Source organism: Homo sapiens, chromosome 4 (genome assembly GCF_000001405.40).
Source record: "Homo sapiens chromosome 4, GRCh38.p14 Primary Assembly".
Taxonomy (NCBI): domain Eukaryota; kingdom Metazoa; phylum Chordata; class Mammalia; order Primates; family Hominidae; genus Homo; species Homo sapiens.
This window is the reverse complement of record NC_000004.12, coordinates 72069095-72093557: the sequence shown is the minus strand read 5'-3', so window position 1 is coordinate 72093557 and position 24463 is coordinate 72069095. Positions and strand designations below refer to the sequence as shown.

Below are 24463 nucleotides of genomic sequence, written 5' to 3'. Positions count from 1 at the left end.
ATCCATCAAAGACAAAGAAAAAAGAATTTAAAAAAATAAACAAAGCCTCCAAGAAGTTTATGATTACATTAAATGACCAAACCTAAGAATAATTGGTGTTCCTGAGGAAGAAGAGAAATCTAAACATTTGGAAAACATATTTGAGGAAATAATCAAGAAAAACTTACCTGGCCTTGCTAGAGATCTAGACATCCAAATACAAGAAGCTCAAAGAACACCTGCCAAATTCATTGCAAAAAGGTCATTGCTTCACCACCTAGTCATCAGGTTATCTAAAGTCAGAATGAAATAAAGAATCTTAAGAGCTGTGAGGCAAAAGCATAAGGTAAACTATAAAGGAAAACCTATCTGATTAACAGCAGACTTCTCAGCAGAAACCCTGCAAGCTAAAAGGGTTGGGGTCCTATTTTTAGCCCCCTTAAACAAAACAATTTTCAGCCAAGAATTTTGTATCCATTAAACTGAGCTTCATAAATGAGGAAATGATACATTCTTTTTCAGATAAACAATGCTGAGAGAATTTACCACTACCAAACAAGAACTATAAAAAATGTTAAAAGGAGCTCTCCATCTTGAAACAATCCTCAAAATATACCAAAATAGAACCTCCTTGAAGCATAAAACTCACAGGAACTGTAAAACAATATGATGAAAAGAAGGTATTCAAGCAACAAATGGCACAATGAATTGACTAGAGTCTCACATTTCAATACTAATGTTGAATGTAAATGGCCTAAATATTCCACTTGAAAGACAAAAAATGGCAAAATGAATAAGAATTCACCAACCAAGTATCTGCTATCTTCAAGAGACTCACCTGGCACATAAGGACCCATATAAACTTAAGGTAAAGGGGTATAAAAAGATATTCCATGTAAATGAACACCAAAATGAGCAGGAGTAACTATTCCTATACCAGACAAAACAAACTTTAAAGCAACGGCAGTTTAAAAAGACAAAGAAGGACAATATACGATGATAAGAGGACTAGTCTAACAGGAAAATATCACAATCCAAAATACATATGCATCTAACACTGGAGCTCCCAAATTTATAAAACAATTACTATTAAACCTAAGAAATGAGATAGACAGCAACACAGTAATAGTGGGAGACTTCAATATGCCACTGACAGGACTAGACAGGTCATCAAGACAGAAAGTCAACAAAGAAACAATGGACTTAAATGGTACCCAAGAACAAATGGACTTAATAGATATTTACAGAACCTTCTACCCAAGAACCACAGAATATACATTCTATTCATCAGCAAATGGAACCTTCTCCATGATAGACCATATGATAGGCCACAAAATAAGTATCAACAATTTTAAGAAAATTGAGATTATATCAAGTACTCTCGCAGACCATAGTGGAATACAATTGGAAATCCACTCCAAAAGGAACCCACAAAACCACGCAAATACATGAAAATTAAATGACCTGCTCCTGAATGGTCACTGAGTCAGCAATAAAATCAAGAGGGAAATTTAAAAATTATTTGAATTGAATGATAATAGTGATATAAACTATCAGAATATCTGGGATATAGCAAAAACAGTGTTAAAAGGAAAGTTCATACCATTAAATGCCTCCATCAAAAAGTCAGAAAGAGCACAAATAGACAATCTAAGGTCACACCTCAAGGAGCTAGAGAAACAAAAACAAACCAAAACCAAACCCAGCAGAAGAAAAGAAACAAACATGATCAGAGCAAAACTAAATGAAATAGAAACAACAACAAAAAATACAAAACATAAATGAAACAAACAGCTGATTCTTTGAAAAGGTAAATAAAATTGATAGAACATTAGTGAGACTAACCAAGAAAAGAAGACAGAAAGTCCAAATAAACTCAATTAAAAACAAAACAGGATATATTACAACCGACACTACAGAAATACAAAAGTTTACTCAAGGCTACGATGAATGCCTTTTCACACATACACTAGAAAACCTAGAGGAGATGGATAAATTCTTGGATATGTACAACCCTCCTAGATTAAACCAGAAGAAGTAGAAACACTGAACAGACTAATAACAAGCAGTGAGCAGTGGTAAATTGGTGATTTAAAAATTGCCAACAAATAAAAAGTGCAGGACCAGATGGATTCACAGCTGAATTCTATCAGACATTAAAAGAAGAATTAGTACCAATCCTATTGACACTATTCCAAGAGATAGAGAAAGAGGGAATCCTCCCTAAATCGTTCTATGAAGCAGTTCACCCTAATACCAAAACCAGGAAAGAATAATACAAAAAGAAAACTACACACTAATGTCCCTGATGAACACACATGCAAAAATCCTCAACGAAATACTAGCTAACTAAATTCAACAGCATATCAAAAAGATAATACGCCTTGATCAAGTGGGTTTCAGACCAGGGATGCAGAGCTGGTTGAACATACACAAGTCCATAAATGTAATACACCACATCAAGAGAAGTAAAAACAAAAATTATATGATCATCTCAATAGATGCAGAAGAACATTTGACAAAATCCAGCATCCCGTTATGATTAAAATAGATTAACGTTTATGATTAAAACCCCCAGCAAAACTGGCAGATAATTAAGGTAATAAAAGCTATCTATGACAAACCCACAGCCAACATTATGCTGAATGGGGAAAAGTTGAAAGCATTTCCTCTGAGAACTGAAACAAGACAAGGATGCCCACTTTCACCACTTCTATTTCACATAGTACTGGAAGTCCTAGCCAGAGCAATCAGAAAGAAATAAAAGGCATCCAAATTGGTAAAGAGAAAGTAAAACTGCTGCTGTTCACTGATGATATGATCGTGTACCTAAAAAACCGTAAAGATTCATCCATAAAGCTTCTAAATCTCATAAATGAATTCAGTAAAGTTTCAGAATACAAAATCAATGTACTCAAATCAGTAGCACTGCTAAACACCAACAGTGACCAAGCTGAGAATCAAATCAAGAATTCAATCACTTTTACAATTGCTGCAGAGAAAGGAAATAAAATACTTAGGAATATACATAACCAGAGGGGTGAGAGATCTCTACAAGGAAAACTATAAAACACTGCTGAAAGAAATAATAGATGACACAAACTAATAAAAACACATCTCACGCTCATGGATGGGTAGAATCAGTACTGTAAAAATGACAATACTACCAAAAGCAATCTATAAATTCAATGCAATTCACATCAAAATACCATCATCAATCTTCACAGAACTAGAAAACACCATCCTAAAACTCATATGGAACCAAAAAAGACCCTGCATAGCCAAAGCAAGATGAAGCAAAAAGAATAAATCTGGAGGCATCACATTACCTGACTTCAAACTATGCTATAAGGCCATAGTCACCACAACAGCATGGTACTTGTATAAAGACAGGCAATAGACCAATGGAACAGAATAGTGGACTCTGAAATAAAGCCACATACTTAAAGCCAACTGGTCTTCGACAAAGCAAACAAAAACATAAGAGTGGAGAAAGGACACCCTATTCAACAAATGGTGCTGGGATAATTGGCAAGCCACATGTAGAAGAATGAAACTGGATCCTCATCTCTCACCTTATACAAAAATCAAATCAAGATAGATCAAAGACTTAAATCTGAAACCTGAAACCATAAAAATTCTAGAAGATAACATTAGAAAAAAACCCTTCTAGACCTTGGCTTATTCAAAGACTTCATGGCCAAGAACCCAAAAGCAAATGCAACAAAAACAAAGATAAATAGATAGGACTTAATTAAAGTAAAAAAACTTCTGCACAGCCAAAGAAATAATCAGCAGAGTAGACAGGTAACACAAAGAGTGGGAGAAAATATTTGTAATCTATGCATCTGACAAGGGACTAATATCCAGAATCTACAAGGAACTCAAACAAATCAGTAAGAAAAAAATCCCATCATAAAGTGGGCTAAGGACATGAATAGACAACTCTCAAAAGAAGATATACAAATGGCCAACAAACAAATGAAAAAATGCTCAACATCACTAATTATCAGAGAAATGCAAATCAAAACCACAATATGATACCATCTTACTCCTGCCAAAATGGCCATAATCAAAATATCAAAAAATAATAGATGTGGGCAAGAATGTGATGAAAAGGGAACACTTTAACACTGTTGGTGGGAATGTAACCTAGTACAACCACTATGGAAAAGAGTGTGAAGATTCCTTTAAGAACTAAAAGTAGATATACCATTTGATCCAGCAATCCCACTACTGGGTATCTTCCCAGAGGAAAATAAGCCATTATATGGAAAAGATACACACAGACGTTTATAGCAGTACAACTCGCAATTGCAAAAATATGGAACCAGCCAAATGCCCATCAATCAACAATTGGATAAAGAAAATGTGGTACATATATACCATAGAATACTACTCACCATAAAAAGGAACAACATAATGATATTTGCAGCAACCTGGATAAGATTGAAAACCATTATTTTAAGTGAAGTAACTCAGAAATGGAAAACCAAACATCGTTATGTTCTCACTCATAAGTGGGAGCTAAGCTATGAGGACATAACGGCATAAGAATGATACAATGGATTTTGAGGACTCAGTGGAAAGGGTGGGAGAGGGTTGAGGGATAAAAGACTACACGCTGGGTACAATGTAGGCTGCTCAAGTGATGAGTGCACCAAAATCTCAGAAATTACCACTGAAGAACTTATTCATGTAACCAAATACCACGTGTTCCCCCAAAACCTATTGAAAAAAAAAAGAATTGTTTTCCCCACATGTCAAGGGAGGGGCCTGGTGGAAGGTGATTGGATCATGGGGGTAGTTTCCCCCAAGCTGTTCTTGTGATAATGAGTGTATTCTTGGGAAATCTGATGGTTTTAAAAGTGGCACTCCCTCCTTTACTCTCTCTCTCTCCTGCTGCCATGTAAGACGTGTTGCTTCCCCTTTGCCTTCTGCCACTATTGGTAAGTTTCCTGAAGCCTCCCTAGCTATGTGGAGCTGTGAGTCAGTTAAGCCTCCTTTCTTTATAAATTAAAAAATAAAAGAAATACAATTCTTCAAATCTACAAAAGCAAACATACACATAGAAGTATGTATGCCTTCATATAGTCTCTCTACATATGTCTATATATATATGTATATTCTATAAACTATCTTTAAAATGTAAGCTATATTACTTACTTTGAATAATTTTTTTAAAATCTGCTCCTTAAAATTCATCTTCCCTTAAAGGTCAAAACCTACACATTTTCATCAATATGTTAGAGACACTCAGGAAAGAAAAGAAGAATGTGGTAGAAATATAGAGTTAAATAAATACGCAACATAGTTCACAAATTAGTGAGGCAGCCCAAGAAATTCACCCATTCATTACCTAACTAATAATCATACAAAAAAATGTGTACTTTACTTTTATCTATACTTCTGAGATAAGCCTTTTTGTTAATGTCTATTTTAAGTCGCTATTATCCTACCCAGTGGACTGTGATAAATCCAGTTCTCTCTCTCTCGGAATTTGAGGAAATTAAGTAGTGAAAAGAGGTATTTGGTCTCTCTTCTGGTCCCAGGTTCTGGCTCTCACTAAATTCTCCCCTCTTTGGCTTTCTTGACCTCCCATTTAATTTTCAAGGTACACTTTTGCATGGCTATTTTTGGGGGGATGATGCCAGAAAAATGCAGCAGAACCAGAAATGAAACAGCCTTAAATTGGACTTTAGATAACATTTTTCACAAAGTTCTTCTGTCATTGCTACCATGAAAAAAATGTTTTCTTCAAGGGAAAAGTTAATTTCCTTAATCTCAGCCTGTGGGAACCGTTCTCACACTCTCCAGTCCCTTCCATTTTCTCCCTTCTTCCATCAGTCCTGACCACTCCTTTCTAAAAAGCAGCAAAGTTCTCCTTTATCTTCAGCCTTATCTAGGGACATTCTCAAATTTCTGTTAAATTTATTACTCAGATATTAGCTTATTTCTCTGAATTCTTTCCTTCCCCATCCTATACAGGGGCTCTCATCCATCACAACTGAAGAAGATTACCTACACAAGACCATCATGTATTAATGCTTAGATTCTTAGCAACCCAGATCACTAGCAAAATTTCTAATTTTGGTTAAAATTTTCCTAGATGACATTTTTAGTCAAATCTATCTTTCCTGTAACAATATCTGTAAATAAAAGGCAATAAGAATTGTATTATCTGCCTTTCCAAAGGAAACAGTAGGAGCCATGGAAATTTATTTTTATATGTTGTGTTTGGATTTTCTTCCCAGAACTTTAGCAACAATGTTAAACAACCAGGCTTTTAGTAAAGCAATTCATAGAATCTCAGGTGAGTCTTAATTTTATTTGTAGCAAGCTGCTGCGTTGACCATAACCCAGATTTTTCAGTGCTTAGAGGTGAATGTTAAATCGAACTCCTACGAGCTGGCATGTACCTTCAAGGCAAAATCCTCACACCAAAATACGTACATCATCAATATAAGCTTAGCGCAAAATGGTCTCTTTCAACCCAAGTTGGTATTTCTGGTGGAGTCTACCACTCTTCTAATGCTAAATGTGAAAATAAAGGCTTTATTTTCTTTTTCTCTCCCAATTTCTCTGTCAGAATGTTTATGCAGATATTACAGACTTGACAAAATACTTACTAACTTTATTATTATTAAATGTGCATATCATAGTTTATCAACAGTTCAGTAATCTAGGAAATATATTTTTGTGTTCCCATGGGATGCATAACTCTTTATTAAACATGGTGTCATCTTACATTTATATGGAGCTCAATCTCTACCAACAATTGTTTTACTATTTATTCTGCATTAGCAATCAACTGTTCCAAAATATTTTTTATTTAAGGGGATCCATTATTGAAGGATAGCATACAATATGGTTAATGAGATTTTAAAGTATTCTGGATACTAAACAGAACTAACTAATGTAAATCATTAATTTCAACTTTTTTCTCTGTTAACTAGTTAAAAATACTGAAGTGAATAGACATATAGTTATTTCCTTATAATCATCAAGAAAATCAGAATAAACATATAAATTACATATTTAATAACTAAATTTTCACAAGACCCTTACTTAATTAAGACCTAATTTTTAATTGTCAGTTTGCTAGCTTACATTCTAAGAGGTTCTAAATAGAGCACTATAGGTGGCAAAAATAGCTGAAAATAACGTAGCCTGCTTACAGTGAGACAGAAATACAGAGTTATTAGTGATATCCATGTTCTGGTCCATCAGACTGCTATCTACGTAAGATGACTGCTACCTACTTAGGAGAGCTTAAGAAAGCTGAAACCATTACCACACTGCAAAACAACAAGGATCTAAACCTTTTTTTATGGACTTCGCTAGTTCACAGACTATTTATTTAAATTTATTTTCAACCTTCAATATAAAGCAATGATTGCTGCATTAATCAACAAATGAGAATAGGGCATACCAAGGAAAACACATTTATTTTACACTTACAATGTGCTTGGTATTTAGTAATCTTCTATCCATTATTTAATATAAAGAATGCTCATAATAACCTTGTGATGTGATAACCAATGGCACATTGATAACGAGTGATCATTATTGAGCATCTTCTTGGTATGTATCAAGCAAATCAGACAAAGCACCTGCTCTCTTCCAGTTTATAAGACAAAGAAATCCATGTTTTCCCTCCATTGTTTCTTCTTAGATTTTGGCTTGCTGTGACAATATGTATATACACTAAACTTGTACTTTTAGGACTTACCAAAAAGATAATTTAATTTTTAACCATTAGTTTCATTTAAAAACTTTAGTTTGCTGTAAAAAAATCATGTGCTGAAGAGTGGGATGGAAATGTAGTCAGTGTAGGAGGGTTCAGAGGCTTTTTTAAAAATTACATAACTAGCATTTCTTTACATCTGGATTGTCCCATCAGCCTACTTAATTGAACCTAACATAATTTAGTTGTCCTCCTTAATCAGTAATGATGTCAATAAAAAGTGAAACAATTTAATGGTAGAATACCATTTGCCTAGGCAATTATGCAGAAACAACTCTGAAATGAAAGGTTTTATGCTATGAGGATCTCAACATGGCATACATTTAGTTGAACAAAAGAAGAAGTAGATTAAGGCATGTAAGAGAAAGAGAAAAAACATAAAATATATGCTGGGGAAAAAAAAGCTTGTGGCTGAAGCTTGAAATGCAAAATATACATATAAAAAACAAGAATCCAAGTTACGAGCCCTTTGTCTCAAAAGACTTTCTTCCCTTGTCCTTCACAGCTGAAGATTGCTCAGATTTCACAGGATTTTGACACTGCTATTATATAAGATACGAAACTGAGAGCAAACAATAACTCCATGTTCAGCTGAGAGCCACCTCATGTCAGTTGAAATAGCTACCAAAAAAACTAATATGGGCTGAAGAATGTGGAAAATAGTACTAACTAGTATTAACATTTGTTGGTATCTGTCTTTTCATCCCATACATTTCTAGTTTTACTCTTAGAAGATTTACCATTATTTTATGAAATGTCTTAATGACTTTTTTTTTAAGCACATTATTCTCAACTAATAGTTCTCGAATAAAGAACAGCATGATTGTCTGTAATTTTTGGATTCCACCTAATGCAGAGTCTAAAACAAGGACTTGGATGCCATATTTGGGAGGCAATTACAGGAAGCAAGAGTGAGTGAACAGGGTAAATGAGAAAGTGAAAGAAGAAAACTCAATAAAGTCCAGTTTTCCAGCTGCCTAGTGCTGTGGGCGAAAAGAGCTCTCTGAGTAAATATGTGGAAATCATGACCTGTGGCCAGGGCATTTATCTACTGACTCCAGACACCCTTAAGGCATTCAGTGTCCCTCATTCCAGGTTGAGAGACCTGCTGCTTTCAGGAAAGCACTGAAGCACAAACGCTGAGAGTGGGCCTCTTTTGAGATGAAAAGTTGACATTGTTTGCAGAAATTGTTCACCACAGCTGTTGCTGAAATCAGACGTGGGCTGAAAGAATGAGTGGGTCACCTAAAACATCTGCTAAAATGATTAATCTGAGGCACTGTTTATCATTGATAAACCAAAGTTAGTTTATTGCCAGTTGGTCTTAAAAATGTGTAATTTTTGATATAGTCATTTTATTGTTCAAATTCCTTGAGGAAAGTCTCAACTTCTAAGTTCCTAAGTCTTTTTCAATTTCATCCTTTCTATATTTTCAGTCTCATCACCTTCCAAAGTTTCACATATCTACCTTTATCCTCAGCCATATTAATGTTTTGCAGTTTCCCAGCTACAACATACTGTTTTCTATTCTTTTGTGGAGTTGAGATAAGAGACTGCAAATATCAAATCAGTTTTAAGTAAATTTTTACAAGCCATGGTAAAGGAAATGAATTTTTTCCTAATATGAAGTGTTTCAAACTGGGGAGAAAATTACCTGCTTTACATTTTTAAAAGATGTTTCTGATTGTTATATAGAATGGTTTGGGCAGAGGAGAGGAGCAAGAATAGAAGCAGGAAAGTCGTTAAGAAGTGATTCTAGTAGTTTACATGGAAGATGTTGCTGTCTTAGGTTAGGTGATAGCATTATAAATATAGAGAAAAGGATGGATGGGTGATCTTTGGTGGTGGTAGTGTTGACTTTGACAATGTATTGGATCTGACTTGAGTAGAAAGGAAGAGAGCAAGCAAACACGCTCTAGCTTTGACTTGAGAACTGAATGGAATGCAGTAACATTTACCTATGTTGGAAAGCCTGTTATGTTTTGGCCGTACTAAATATAAGATGCCTTTTAGAGAGCCTAGTGGAGACTTAAAGTGCTTGGTTTTATGAGCTGAGAGCTTAGAGGAGAGATAGAAGATAATGAGATCAATTTGGGAATTATTAGCATATTGATGGTATTTTAAACTGTGGAATCAGAAAACATCACCTATGAAAAGAAGGTCGATGAGAAGAGAGGGGCCCAGAGTCAAGCTCAGAGTCCTGCAATATTTAGAGTTTAGGCAGAGGAAGTGAATCCAGCAAAAGAAATTGAGAACAGAAAGTGAGGTACAACAAAACCAGGAGAACATGGTGTTCCTAAAGCCAATAAAGTTATTTCAAAAAGGAGACAGTTGTCACTGATGGCAAATACTCAAATGCTGCTAAGGTACTGAAAAACTGCCAAACACCAGTAATCATCAGGGAAATTCAAATTAAAACTACAATGAAATACTACTTCACATCTATCAGAAGGGCTATTATCAAAAAGACAAAATATAACAAGTGTTGGAAGGATGTGGACAAAAGAGAACCCTTGTATGCTGTTGGTAGAAATATAAATTAATACAACCATTATAGAAAACAGTATGGAGAGTTCTCAAAAAATGAAAAATAGAATGACCATATGATTCAGAAATTCCACTTATGGGTATAGAGTCAAAGGAAATTAAATCAGTATCTCGAAGAGATAACTGGACTTCTGTGTTCATTGGAGCATTATTCACAGTAGCCATTATTCAAGTGTGATACATATGTCACTTTTTATCAATTTATCTGTTGTTTATACACACACACACATATACATATGAATGTATACACATACAAACAGTGGAATACTATTCAGGTTTTGTTTTTTTAAAGAAAATCCTGTTATTTGCAACAACGCAGATGAACCTAAAGGACATTATGTTAAGTTAAATAAGCTGGGTACAGAAAGAAATGTGCTGCATGATAGCAATTATATGTGGAATATAAAGAAGTCTAACTTAGAGAGGTAGATTGGAAAATAGGGGCTACCAGGGAGTGGGGGCTGGGGTGGGCAGGTGGAATGGGGAGATGTTGATCAAAGGATACAAGGTTTCAGTTAGTTAGGAGATTAAGCCTGGATATCTATTGTACATCGAGGTAATTACAGTTAATAATAATGTAGCGTATACTTAAGAATGCTAAGATAGTAGATTCTAAATGTTCTCATCACAAAAAAAGATGCAGATTTATATGAGGTGATAGATATATTAATCAGCCTGATGTAATCATTCCACAATACATATATATCAAACCATCAATGTACACCATAAATATAAACAATAAAAATCTATAACAAATTATATAGTGTATAAATAAAATAAAATGTCAGTTTAAGAAAAACAAGTTGAGTAAAATGAGGACCAAAGAGTAGTCATTGAATTTGGCAAAATAGATATTCCAGATGAACTAGAAAAGATTATCTTTGCTAGAGCAGGTAGGCAGACAGCCTGATTGGAATGAATTAAAGAGAGACTCAGAGAGGATATACCTAGCCCCTTGGCTTCTTCATTGAATGGAACAATTCCAGTCTTTTTGCTGAGCTCCTCCTATTCCTTGAAGGAAGTTGTCTTGAAAGTGGTTCTTTCTAAATTAGTCTTATGCTGATGTCTCTACATCAGGTTCCATATGTATTATCTGGGAGACATGCATCCTTTTTGAAGTTGTGATGGGAATACAGTTACTTTCCAAACACAATTATGTACTTTGCTGCCATAGGCACCATAGCCAGTCTCTTGCCAGTTAAGTCTGCAGTTACAAGTCTCTAGTATCAAACTTATGTGGTCTACTTAAAGCTACTCCAACCCTCATCCCACTCCCTGACAAGGCTTGATCTTAGAATATCCCTGTGTCTTGCCTATAAAATGTGTAAGAATATGGTAGTGGGATGGAAAAACTGTGGGCAAGGGAGAATGCCACAGCTGTTCAACAAAATGTTTTTCAAGGAAATTCCCTCTCCAATTGTTCACTGGACTCTAAACCTCTGTAAAACTTTTTAGGGGTGCCTATTTGGAGATGAACTAACAGTTATTAAATCAGGCTGAGTGTGGTGGCTCATGCCTGTAATCCTAGCATTTCTGGAGGCCAAGGCGGGAGGACTGCTTGAGCCCAGAGGCTCAAGACAAGCTTAGGCAACATAGCAAGATCCCCATCTCCACAAAAAAATAGAAAAAATTAGCCAGGTGTGGTGGCATGCATCTGTAGTCCTAGCTACTTAGGAGGCTGAGGTGGGAGAATCGCTTGAGCCTGGGCAATTGAGGCTGCAGTGAGCTTGACCATGCCACTGCATTCCAGCCTGGGTGACAGAGCAAGACCTCAGTCTCAAAAAAAAAAAAAACAATTCTTAAATCAATTATTAGCCATCTTCTTTACATGTCCTATTTAAGTGAGAACATCAGTGAAGGTTCAGTCAGGAAGGGAGAAACATAATGGAATATGGAATTTTTATAGGAATTATACATTACAGCAGACATCAACACCTTTTCTGTAAAGAGCCAGCAGTAAATATTTTGGGTTTGCAGGCCCGAAGGCTTCTGTCACAACTACTCAATTCTGTTGTATAGCAGAAAGCAGCCACAGATGATACAGAAACAAATGGGAATAATCGTTTTAATAAAATTTTCTTTTAAAAAATAAGCAATGGGACTGTAGATACTTTGCCCGTTCCTGTCTTAGACAAGAGTAGGAATTGCTGGGGAGGTGAATTTTCAGAGGGAAGTTTTGGAGTATTGCAGATAAAGTCATTAAACAGTCATCTTGAAGCACTGGAGCAGAGGACCACTAGGAGTTGGCAGTGACATCTGAGTAGACAAGCAAGTTGAGCTTCCTTAGAGGGACTGTATAAGGGAGGTTGTGGAGGGATCTATGGGGAAGATGTCTCAGTGTGGCCTCTGTTATCTGCAACTGGGGGCAGGCTTGGAACCGCTGTTGGTCCTCAAGGTCAACAGTTGGGAAGAAGAGCTGGTGGAGTAGAGGAAAGTGAGGAAAAGCCGAGCGCCTCTGTAGTTGTCAGTGACTCTCAAACTTAGATCTTTCTGAGAGTAAAGGCCCCTGATTCCCTTTAACCTCCTAATATGGGATTTCCTCTCTTATCCAACTCTAAGCTGGAAGTATACAGATTAAGGAGATTATGGAGAACATAGCTCCTAGTTCAATACAGTTGACACTAGAACAAATTGGTATGTTCTATCTTTGGATCTCAGCTGAAATTGAGGAACAAATATTCTAATTTTAGCATAATGTCACTGTGAGAAAATAAACCTGGATTTATTCCCATGTTTCAAAGCTGCAGGTCCATGAAACATGGAAATATGTATAGTATAAGATAAATAATGTTTGTTTCACTTCTCTTAGAAATATTTAGATTAGGCCAGGCGTGGTGGCTGACACCTGTAATCCAGCACTTTGGGAGGCCGAGGCAGGCAGATCACGAGGTCAGGAGTTAGAGACCAGCATGGCCAACATGGTGAAACCCTGTCTCTACTAAAAATACAAAAATTAGCCAGGAGCAGTGGTGAGCACCTCTAATCCCAGGTACTCAGGAGACTGAGGCAGGAGAATTTCTTGAACCCGGGAGGTGGAGGTTGCAGTGAGCGGAGATTGCACCACTGCACTCCGGCCTGGGTGACAGAGCAAGACTCCATCTCAAAAAAAGAAAAACAAAACAAAAAAACAACAACAACAACAACAAAAAACAGGTATTTATATTTCAAAAGAAATTGGTCCCAGAACTTTAGAGACATCTCTATGTTGTGAAACCTGGAGATACTGAACTTATTTGGTTCCTAGAGAGAATTATTTATATATCAAAGAGCTAGAGTGTGCATTTCTTCCATTACATATCCAAGGAGCCTCTCTCAGAAGGGAAGAGGGGAAGTTGGTTTCTTTTCCCTTTAAAAGCACAAAAATGTATTTTTTTCTGTTTTCCTCATTCAACAAGTAAAATCTGACAATCATGTAAGAGATGTCTCCATTTGGCTCTCACTGCATCAATCTACAGGGTTGCAGGGCCCAGGGGACATATGCTGCAAAGCTAATCTGGCTGTAAGTACTTTTCTGGGTTGTTTGTACACTGAGTTTTGAGATGTTTTGATACATTCTGAATACAAGTTGTTTATCAGATGTGTAGTTTGAACATACTGTCCCCCTATCTATGGTTTGTCTTTTCATTCCCTCAGTACTGGTTTTTGAATTTCTTAATTTTTATGAGGTCTGATCTATGAATTTTATCTTTTCCTAAACAAGGTCACAAAGATTTCCTCCTATTTTATTCTAGATATTTTATTGCTTAAAGTTTTACATTTAGGTCTCTGATCTATTTTGAGTTTATTTTGGTATCATGTTCTTATTTCTTAATTATAGTGCTGATTGGTAACATAAGTTGATTATGTTGACTAACTGGTCATATGTTTTTAAAGCAATAATTTGCATGCATCAAACCACAAAATCTTTCATAAGGCTATCATCCAAATGTAGTATTTGAAAGCTTACAATGTTTTTTTCAATAGGAACTAAAAAAAATAGAAGACGAAGATCAAACCATTTATAGTCTGTCTCCTGCTTTTTTTTAACATTTTATTTTGAGATAACTATAGACTCACACATAGTTGTAAGAAATCATACAATGAAGAGCCTATGTGCCATTCACTCAAAGGTAACATCCTGCGTAACTACAGTACAATACCACAAGCAGGAGTTTGACACTGATACAATCCACTGAGCTTATTCAGATTTCAACAGATGTGTGTGTGTGTGTGTGTGTGTGTGTGTGTGTGTTTAGTTCTATGCATTTTATAACACATGTAGATTCTTTGACCATGACTACAGTCAAAATAACAGTTTTATCATAAGTATTCCTTGTGCTACCCTTCTATAGCAACAGCCACCTCCCACCCTCCAACTTCCATAAACCTGGCAACCACTAATCTATTCTTCATCCTATAATTTTGTCATTTTAAAATGTTATATAAATGGAATAATATATTATGGAAAATTTGGGATTGGCCTTTTCCACTCAGCATAATTCCACTGAATTGCTTTTACATTTTTGTCAAAAATTTGGGTATGTTTGTAGGGGTCAAGTTCTGCTTTTTCTATTCTCTTTCACTGATGTATGTGTCAATTTCTTCACCAATACCACATTGCTTTTTTATCAATGTAGCCATATAGTAAGCATTAATAGCAGGTAGAGTAATTCCTTCTACTTTATTCTTATTTTTCAAGGTTGTTTTAGCTATTCTAGTCCTGTGCTTTTCTACATAAAGTTTAGGAGGAACTTGCCTATGTCCACAAAAATCCTTGTGTGCATTTTGATAGAAATTACAATATTCTACAGATCCATTTGGGGAGTCTTCTGTCCTCTTTCAAAAAGCACCAGATCTTTTGAAACTCATGCCACAAGACAAAGCTTCATGCTAATCGTTTTTTGTTGCTATCTGCTCTCACTCATTCATTGATAGCTTTAGTACATATGTCACTCTCTTTCTTCAACCCTTTCTCTTGATTTCTTTCAAAGACACCATCTTTGAAAGCTTGATTTTAGAAGACATTCTTATATATTCAGTTCATTTACTTTATCATGTCACAGCAGCAATTTTGTTGCTACATTAAAACTTCTAATCCAATATTTTCAACAAATACTGCTGGAACAATAGGGTACCTATATGCAAAATATGAATCTTAATCCATAATTATGGCTGATTACCCATGGCATCTACTATGGAACAAACATTAAGAAATAGCACACCAATTATAGATTATGAGAGAGCAGATACCTTTTATTTCTAATATATTGCACTCATTTTTTATTTCAGAATGGTTCTGGCAAACAAAAAAAGGAAATGACACCACCACACAACCACTACACACATGCACACAACATAAATGACCTTTAAAATCTCTACTTCAAAATTGCAAACTAAATCTAATTTTCACTTTCTTTATCTGAGTAAAAATTTGTTGAGGCAAATCTATTTTTTACAAAAACACGTCGCTTCATGCTGGCTTTCTAATAGCTAAAATGTGTGAGGGAATTAATACAAAAAAATAGTAAAATAGAATCAAGTGAAAATTAAAGCCCCAAGAAAAGTATGCCTTAAAAATCGGGACAAATCTGTGCTAAAAGATTTGATAGTTTCTGATGAAGCTCTTATTTAAGGAGTGAGGACTTTCAGTGGGTGCCTGTCAAGATCTGCAGCAATTTCAATTTCAGTGTTTAAGATTAGCAAAATGAACAACCTTTTAGGAATGCTAATTAATAATCAACCTGTTTGTAAAAGAGGTTCATTTTCTGCCAGACTGAAATCGTGGATGAGATATTAATTTTGTCTTCCCCTCATTGGAAGGGCATTTGGAAAGAAAAAAGCAAGAAACCTCAGTTGTCAGTGTATGAGGATGGTTGAATTTTTCTTCCCTTTATATTTAATCAACCTTTCATTAGATTTGGCAGCTAATTTGTCATTTTCCTGGCCCATGACAGGCCCTAGAAGAGATGATAGTGGTAGCTTTTAGTACTTTCATAAAATATTATGTAGAAACAAAATTTTCTTGTGGTAAGTTTATGCCAGCCAACAAAAATCCCCAATATATCCAGTGTAATGTACAGGGTTACATTAGTGAAAGCCTGGAAGAATGGAACTCAGGAAAGAAGTATTTTAAAATAGGCTGAATATGAGGATGAAGATAGAGGTAGAAAATGGAAACCAATGAACATAAACAAAAGATTTTTTAAAGACTATTTTATCCTATGTACCTCAGCAAATCATTAACTGATAAGGGGAGTAGCACATGTTCTCATTTGGAGGAAAATAAGAATAAGATAAAATTAATTTAGATGATTTACTACTTTTTAGAAAAAAGAACAATATTTTACTCTTTCTTGAAAATACTGATGACTAAAGGCAGTAACATTGAATAAGCACTTAGATGTAATGCTTTACTGACAGTGCAGACTGTTTCTTTAATTACTTTTCATGATCACATTACAGATATACTGTGTGAAAGTGCAGCACCAAAGGAGTGATGAGGGACATTCTTGCTGGATGACTGTTGAATGAATTTGCTTGCTCTCTCAGGACTTGGCTACATTAGGTTGTATTTGTGCTAAAATGATCTGGTTACCCTCAAGCTGGCCTCCTGCTCTAGCAGTCACTCTTAATCATCCTGAAGAAAAATGATGCTGTCTTTACCCCTTCAACCACCATTTATTCTTCCACACACAGCAGTTTGGCTTCTGCCTCTATTTTCCACTGAATCTGTACTTGCTAAGATCATTTGCTGATGGTCAAAACAATGGCTTATTTTCATATCAAATCATGATGTCTTTCTTGGGCACTCCAAAGCCCTGTATTCTCTTAATATTCTGGTTGGGGGTACATGCTTATTAGGGAAATGGTTTGTACTCAATATTATTAAAAGGAGATATAAATGAGTACATAAAAATCAACTTTTGTTAGAATATAACAATTTATATATAATATAGATGAAATAGTTTTTCTCAAAATACCAAAAATACAAAGTATCTTACTCAATTCTCTTTCCTCTCCCATCTATATTTCCATATTATTTTTTCCCAAGACATAGAGCAAATAAGGTCATTTTATTTTTTTAATCCAAAAATGTATTTGCTTTAAATTATAATGGAAAAAAAAACTCCATAACATAGCATCAATTATTTTTCTAGATTTGACATTTACCCAACTTTCTAGACTTATCTCCACTATCTATGCCGTCTAGCCTTACCGGTCCTTTGTTATTTCCCAAGTATAGAAAGTGCTTTGTTCCTTCCTGCTTTGGCTTGTGCTGTCTGCCCTCTCTCTCTCTCTGTGTGTGTGTGTGTGTGTGTGTGTGTGTGTATGTGTGTGTGTGTGTGTGACAGAGAGAGAGAGAGATTGATTTACTTTTTATTATTTTGAGTAACAACTATTTTAGGTGTAAAGTTTGGGGATATTAAGTACATTCATATTGTTGTGCAACCATCACCACCATTCATCTCTAAAACTATTTTTGTTTTGCAAAGCTGAAATTCTATATTCATTAAACAATTACTCCCCATTCCTTTCTCCTCCCAGCCTGTGGCAATTTCCATTATGCTTTCAGTCCCCATGATTTTGACTACTCAATGTACCTCATATAAGTGGAATCATACAGTATTTGTTATTTTGTGATTGGCTTATGTCCTACATGTACCTGAGAAGAATGTGTATCCTATTGTTATTGGGTAGAATGTTCCACATATGTATGTTAGATATAGTTGGTTTATTATGGGTTCAAGTCCACTGTTTCCTTAGTTATAATTCTGTCTGGTGGTTCTCTCCATTATTGAGAGTAGGGCATAGAAGTCTCTGAATATTATTGTAAAACTGTGTATTTCTCCCTTTAGTTCTTTAGTCATTTCTTACCTCATGTATTTTGGTAGTCTGTTATTAAATGTATTAGTCAAGTTTCTCTAGAGGGACAGAACTAATGGAATGGAGTTTATTAAGTATTAACTCACACAATCACAAGGTCCCACAATGGGCTGTCTCCAGGCTGAACAGCAAGGAGAGCCAGTTTGACTTCCAAAACTGAAGAACTTGGAGTCCGTTGTTCAATGGCAGGAAGCATCCAGCATGGTAGAAAGATGTAGGCCAGGCCAGTCTCACCTTTTCATGTTTTTCTACCTGCTTTATATTCACTGGCAGCTAATTAGATTGCACCCACTAGATTAAGTGTGGGTCTGCCTTCCTCAGCCCACTGACTCAAATGGTAATCTTCGTTGGCAACACCCTCACAGACACACCCAGGATCAATACTTCGTATTCGTCAATCCAATCAAATTGACACTCAGTATTAACCATCACAAAAAATAAACATATTTATATTGTCTCTTTGCCATATTGAATCTTTTATTAATATGTAATGTCCTTGTTCATCTCATAATCTTTTAAAGTTAAAGTCTATGTTGTCTGACATTAGTTTAGCCATTCTTCTGAATTTTTATTACCGTTTGCATAGAATATCCATTTTCAACCTTTCAACTTATTTGTATCTTGGTCTCTAAAGTGAGTCTGTTGTAGACAGCATATAGTTGGATCATGTTTTTTTCCATCTATTTTGCCAATCTCTGTCTTTTGATGGGAAGGTTTAATTCATTTACATTAAAAGTAATTACTGATAAGTAGTAGGGTCTTATTTCTGTCATTTTGATTTTTTTTCTATATAGTAGTCCCCCTTTACCCATAGGGGATACGCTCCCAGACCCAAAGTGGATGCCTAAAATCATGGATAGTACTAAACCCTATATACATTATGGTTTTTCCTACACATAACCACCTAAGATAAAGTTTAATTTATAAATTAGGCACAGAAAGAGATTAACAAAAATACAGTAGTAATAAAATGGAGCAATTATAGCTATCTACTGTAATAAAAATTATGTGAATGTGGTGTTTCTTCCTCAAAATATTTATTGCACTGTCCTCACCCTTCTTCTTCTTGTGATGAAGTGAGATGACAAAATCCCTATGTGATGAGATTTATGAGGTGAATTATGTAGGCATCGTGACATAATTGAAAAGTCCAAAAATAAACAATTCATAAGTTTTAAATTGCATGTCATTCTGAAGAGCAGGATGAAATCTTTACCTGGATTGTCATTAGTCACCTAATAACCATCTTGGTTAGCAGCTTATTTGTCACAGTATTGCAGTACTTAGGTTCAAGTAACCCTTATTTTACTTAATTCTGGTTCAAAAGCACAAGAGTATTGATTAATATTTTTGAACTGCAGTTCACTATGGGAAACTGAAACCATGGAAAGTGAAACCCTGGAAAGTGAAACCCATGGAAAGTGAAACCACTCTATGCCTTATAGCTTTTTTCTTCCTCATATTCTGCATTACCATCTTTTTTTCTGTTTAGCTAATTTTTTTGTAGTGAAATATTTCTATTCCTTTCTCATTTCCTTTAGAGTATACTCTTTAGTTATTTTTCTGTAGTTACCATGGGGATTACATGTAACATCCTAAAGTTGTTACACCAATTTGAATTTATACCATTTCATTTTAATAACATAAAAATTCTGCACCTTTAACAGCTTCAGCACTACCTTTTTTAGTTGTCGATGTTATAAAATTATATCTTTACACATTGTGTTTTAAGAAACATAAACTAATAAATTTTAATATATTCATCTCTACCATTATGTAGAAAAAAATGTTAATTTACAAACTAAAGTTATAATACTAACTTTGACACTAATAATTTTTTTAAATGTGTAAGTCTCTTAAATAGAGTAGAGAACAAAAAGTAGAATCATACATCAAAGTTACCACACCATTAGCTTTTATAATTGCATATGTATTCACCTTTATTGAGATCTTTATGTCTTATTATTTAGTGTTCTTTAATTTCAACCTGCAGGGCTCCCTTAAGCATTTCTTGCAGGGCAGTTCTAGTGGTAAGCTTTTGAAAGATAGTTTTGCCAGCTATAGAACATTTTTAATTTTTGTTGGTACATTGTAGTTGTATATGTTTATGGGGTACAGGAGATATTTTGATACAGGCATGCAATATGTAATAATTACATCATGAAAAATGGGGTATCCATTCCCTAAAGCACTTATTCTTGGTGTTACAAACCATCTAATTATACTTTTTTAGTTATTTCAAAATATACAATTAAATCAGTTACACAGTTCTTGGTTGACATGTTGTTTCTTTGTTTGCTCTTTTAGAAGTTTGAATATATCAGTCCACTGCCTTCTGGATCTAAAATGAGTCTCTTGTAGATGGCATATAGTTGAATCATTTTAAAAACTCTATTTTGCTGATCTCTACCTTTTGGTTGGAGAATTTAATTCATTTACATTAAAAGCAATTACTGATAAATAGGGACCTACTGCTGCCATTTTGCTATTTTTTTCTACACCTTAGTTCCTCTTATCCATAGGGGAAATGCTCCAAGGTTTCTGATGAGAAATTTGCTGATAATAGTATTGAGATCCTTTTTATGTGGTAAGTCACTCCTCTAAAGCTACTTTCAACATTATCTGTTTTGGGATTATGATACTTTGATCATAATGTATCTCACTTTGAGTATCTTTGAGTTTATTCTACTCAGAATCTATTGAACTTCTCGGATGTTTATTTCCATATCTTTCATTATATTTGAAAAGTTTTCAGCCATGATTTCTTCAAATATTCTCTCTTCCTCTTCCTCCTTCTCTTCCCCCCTGAGATTTTCATAATGTATATGTTGATCTGTTTGATGGTGTCCCACAGGACTCATAGTCTCTGTCCACTTTATTTCAATCTTTTTTCTTTCTGTTTCTCAGACAATAATTTCTATGGTCCTATCTTCAAGTTAGCTGATTTTTCTGCTTGATCAAATTTGCTCTTGAATCCCTCTAGTGACTATTCATTTCAGTTATTTTTTTTGTCAGCTCCAAATTCTCTTTTTTTCTTTCTTTTTAGGTTTTCTGTCTCTTCATTTATGTTTCTATTTTTTTCATACATTGACTTCTTGGCATTCTTCATGTCTTGCTTTGGTTCTGTCAGCATCTTTGAGACAGTTGTTCAAAGTCTGTGTCTCATAGCTCCACTATCAGTTCTTTGTCAGGGGAAGTTTGTGCGGTTTTCCTTTGAATTAGCCATATTTTCCTGGTTTGTAAATATGCTTTATGATTTCTGGTGAAAACTAGACATGTTAATCTAATGGTACAGCAATGCTGGAAACTGAATCCTTCCTCTTCACCAGGATTTGCTGCTTTTTTTGTTGTTGTTTCTTGATTGTTGTAGGCTATCTATCTCTGTGCCAAGAATAAACCACAGGGGCAAACTTAATGTATTCTCTGGCCTTTTCTGAGCCAGTGCCTTCCCCTGGGCATGAGTGGTGACTTTCTAATTTTCTCGTGTATGTGGTTTCTTTTCAATGAGCTAGTCTTCAATGTCTGGCTCACAAAGTGGAAAAAGAGAAAAATGAAGGTGAAGGGGAAGTCATTGGCCCTGGCAGTCACTTCAGTCAGAAGGGGAAGGGCTTGCAGCAATGGGAGGAGGTAAAACAACAATGGCTTTAGCCTCTTTGTGCATCTGCAATCAGAAGTAACAATCAGGGCATAGATCCCCAGTATATAAAGGAAAGGGTCCTTTTTGTGCACCCAGGCTTCTTCAAGCTATGTTCAAGCTATTCCAGGTACATGTGCAGATCTACCTGTCATGTGGCTGAGAGGTAGGGGATGGATGGTTTTGTGCCAAGAGTTGAAATTTACTGAAATTAACTGCAAGTTATCATCCAAGTCTTCAACTGCAAGCCTTCAATACACTGTAGAGCTCCAAAATAGTTACATCAGACAGATTGTGCCAGTGCAATTATTGTCTAGTTAGGGAGAAAGATTTCACATGCTTTATGCTGCACCATCTTCCAAGAATCCACTCTGTACTATCTTCTATTTGGGGGGTCATACACGCTCCTCACAAAAACAAAATCTCACTTAATACTCAAAAATCAATAAAGTGTCAAATCTTGCCTGTACCTCTGACCTTAGTAATTAATTACACTTTCCTCCATGAATTCATAGTCTCAGCTAGGTGATATTTACCATACAGCATTGACATTTACGATATTCATGCTTGTTTTTAAACATGTCTGTGCATGAGAAACACCTGGAGAGCTTGGTTAACAAAAAAGGAAAACATAGATTCTTGGAGGAGTAACTCTAGAGCTATTGAATCATACTTTCTGAAGATGATGTCCAGAATTATGTTTTTTTCTCAGTCAATGTTCAACATTATTTGCTTTTGATAATTTGCTAACAGTGATAAAGCCTCAGTCACATGTACCACTTTTAAAACTAGAAATGCAGTCAACTGTTACTCTCCCTCTCAAAGAACATGAACTATTGGCAAGAGGGTGAAGGCTGAAACATTGTCGAAATAAATTTGATCCTAAGAAAATGGGAATGGATATTATAAAAACAACCACAAAGTTCATTACAAGTATACAATACGTTTTCAATCATTAAACCTATTGCTATGCATCCACCCCTTAGTACTACATGCTGCAATAAACAATCTTGTACACATCTTTACATTCATGTACTTTTTTTTCCTATAAAGTGTGTGAAAGTTGTCAGAATCAAAATGGAGCCACTTCCCTGACAAATGGAGCTGCGGAAGGCCATGAGGGGAGGGTCCTCAGGCATTTGTGTCTGATAAAATAACTATCACAAAACACTCTGCATAAAAACACAATCTTGCACAAAGGCCACCAGAGCCCCACCCCCCCCCCCCACACACACACACACACACGATACTTCCATGAGGATATCTGCCCAGCAACTGCCTGTCCAACTTTGGACTGATGCCACCCGTATTATTGATACTTGTAGCCAAGGATAATTTTCTTAAAAAAATGTATGTGACCCTCCTCATTTTTCCTTTAAAAACTGTGTGTTCCTCTACCTCCCTGAATTTGCTTATGGTTATTCCTATTGGAATGCTTATTCACAAATAAATATTGTCAAACCTAGAAGTGAAGTGAGGGGCCAAAGGCCATAGTTCTAATTTCAATAAATAGTGTGGGTTACTCTATAAAAACTATAATAATTCTTATTTCAATGAGCTATATATGAGAAGGACACTTTACTTATGTTGCTGATAGCAATGAGAAAATTTAGTGTAGTGGTTAAAGGAGCAATCTCTAGGGTCAATCTGCTAGGGATCAATTATAGCTCTTCAACTTTTCACCTGTGAGACCTTGAGTAAATTACTAAATTGCTATATTCCTTGGTTTAATTGGGTGTAAAATAGGAATAATAATACCAGTATTGATATATTAGACTAATATTAGTTTTAGTCATATGCTTGTTACAAAGAATATATGACTTGATATACATAGAACATGAAAAAGTCCCTAGCATAAATCAGTACTTGATTATAAATGTCGGCTATTATTAACAGTTTGTATGATCAATTTTTTTATATTTACCAATCTGATATAGAAAAGGTATTCTGTAACTTTTAAAACAATTTACATTTCCTTATTACTAGGTTGAACATATTTTCATGTTTATTTGCCATTTAAATTTACTTTACTGTGAATTTCCTATTCATATTTCCAATAATTCTGTTACTAATTGTCATTTATTAATTTGCAGAAATATTCTGTACATTAAATATTTTTCTAATCTATGGAAAAGCTTTTGACTTTATTATATCTTTTGTCAGTGTTGTTTATTGTCTTGTCTTATCGCAAACGTTTTAAAACTTTCATGTTGACTAATAGTAATAACAACATCTGCAGTGATCATAGGCATACCTGTCTGATTCCTATTTTAATAAAAATGGCTTTAAAAGTTCACTTTTTAGAATTTTTCCGGTTGGACTTTGGTGAAGACCCTGTTTTATACTTAAAAGTTTTTTAAATTTATATTTTATTTAGCACTTTAATCAGGAAAGACTGCTGAATTATTTGAAATGCCTTTTTAGAACGTGATTGTACAATTATAGTTTTTAAAATGCTATGTTGTGTTTACATAATGATATAATTTGATAATTTACTATTGACTACCTTTGCATTCATATTTTTTCATAGGTCATAATCCAGTGTTCTTTTGACACACAGCTAATTTCCAGATTGCTAATAGTTTGCCTTTTAAAAATCTGTAGTCATAAATGATATTTCTCTAGTTAAAAGTGAGATTTAGTCAGTCTTTATAAGGCTTAGCATTACTGTTATGCTATTCTTATCTTTTCCT

General features: G+C 35.0%; 1 protein-coding gene across 4 annotated transcripts in view; it reads right to left on the bottom strand.

Annotated features, from left to right (window-relative positions):
• Nucleotides 1–24463, bottom strand: part of NPFFR2 (neuropeptide FF receptor 2) — a 116306-nt gene that overhangs the window by 54748 nt on the left and 37095 nt on the right. The gene's annotated exons all lie outside the window — the stretch shown is intronic.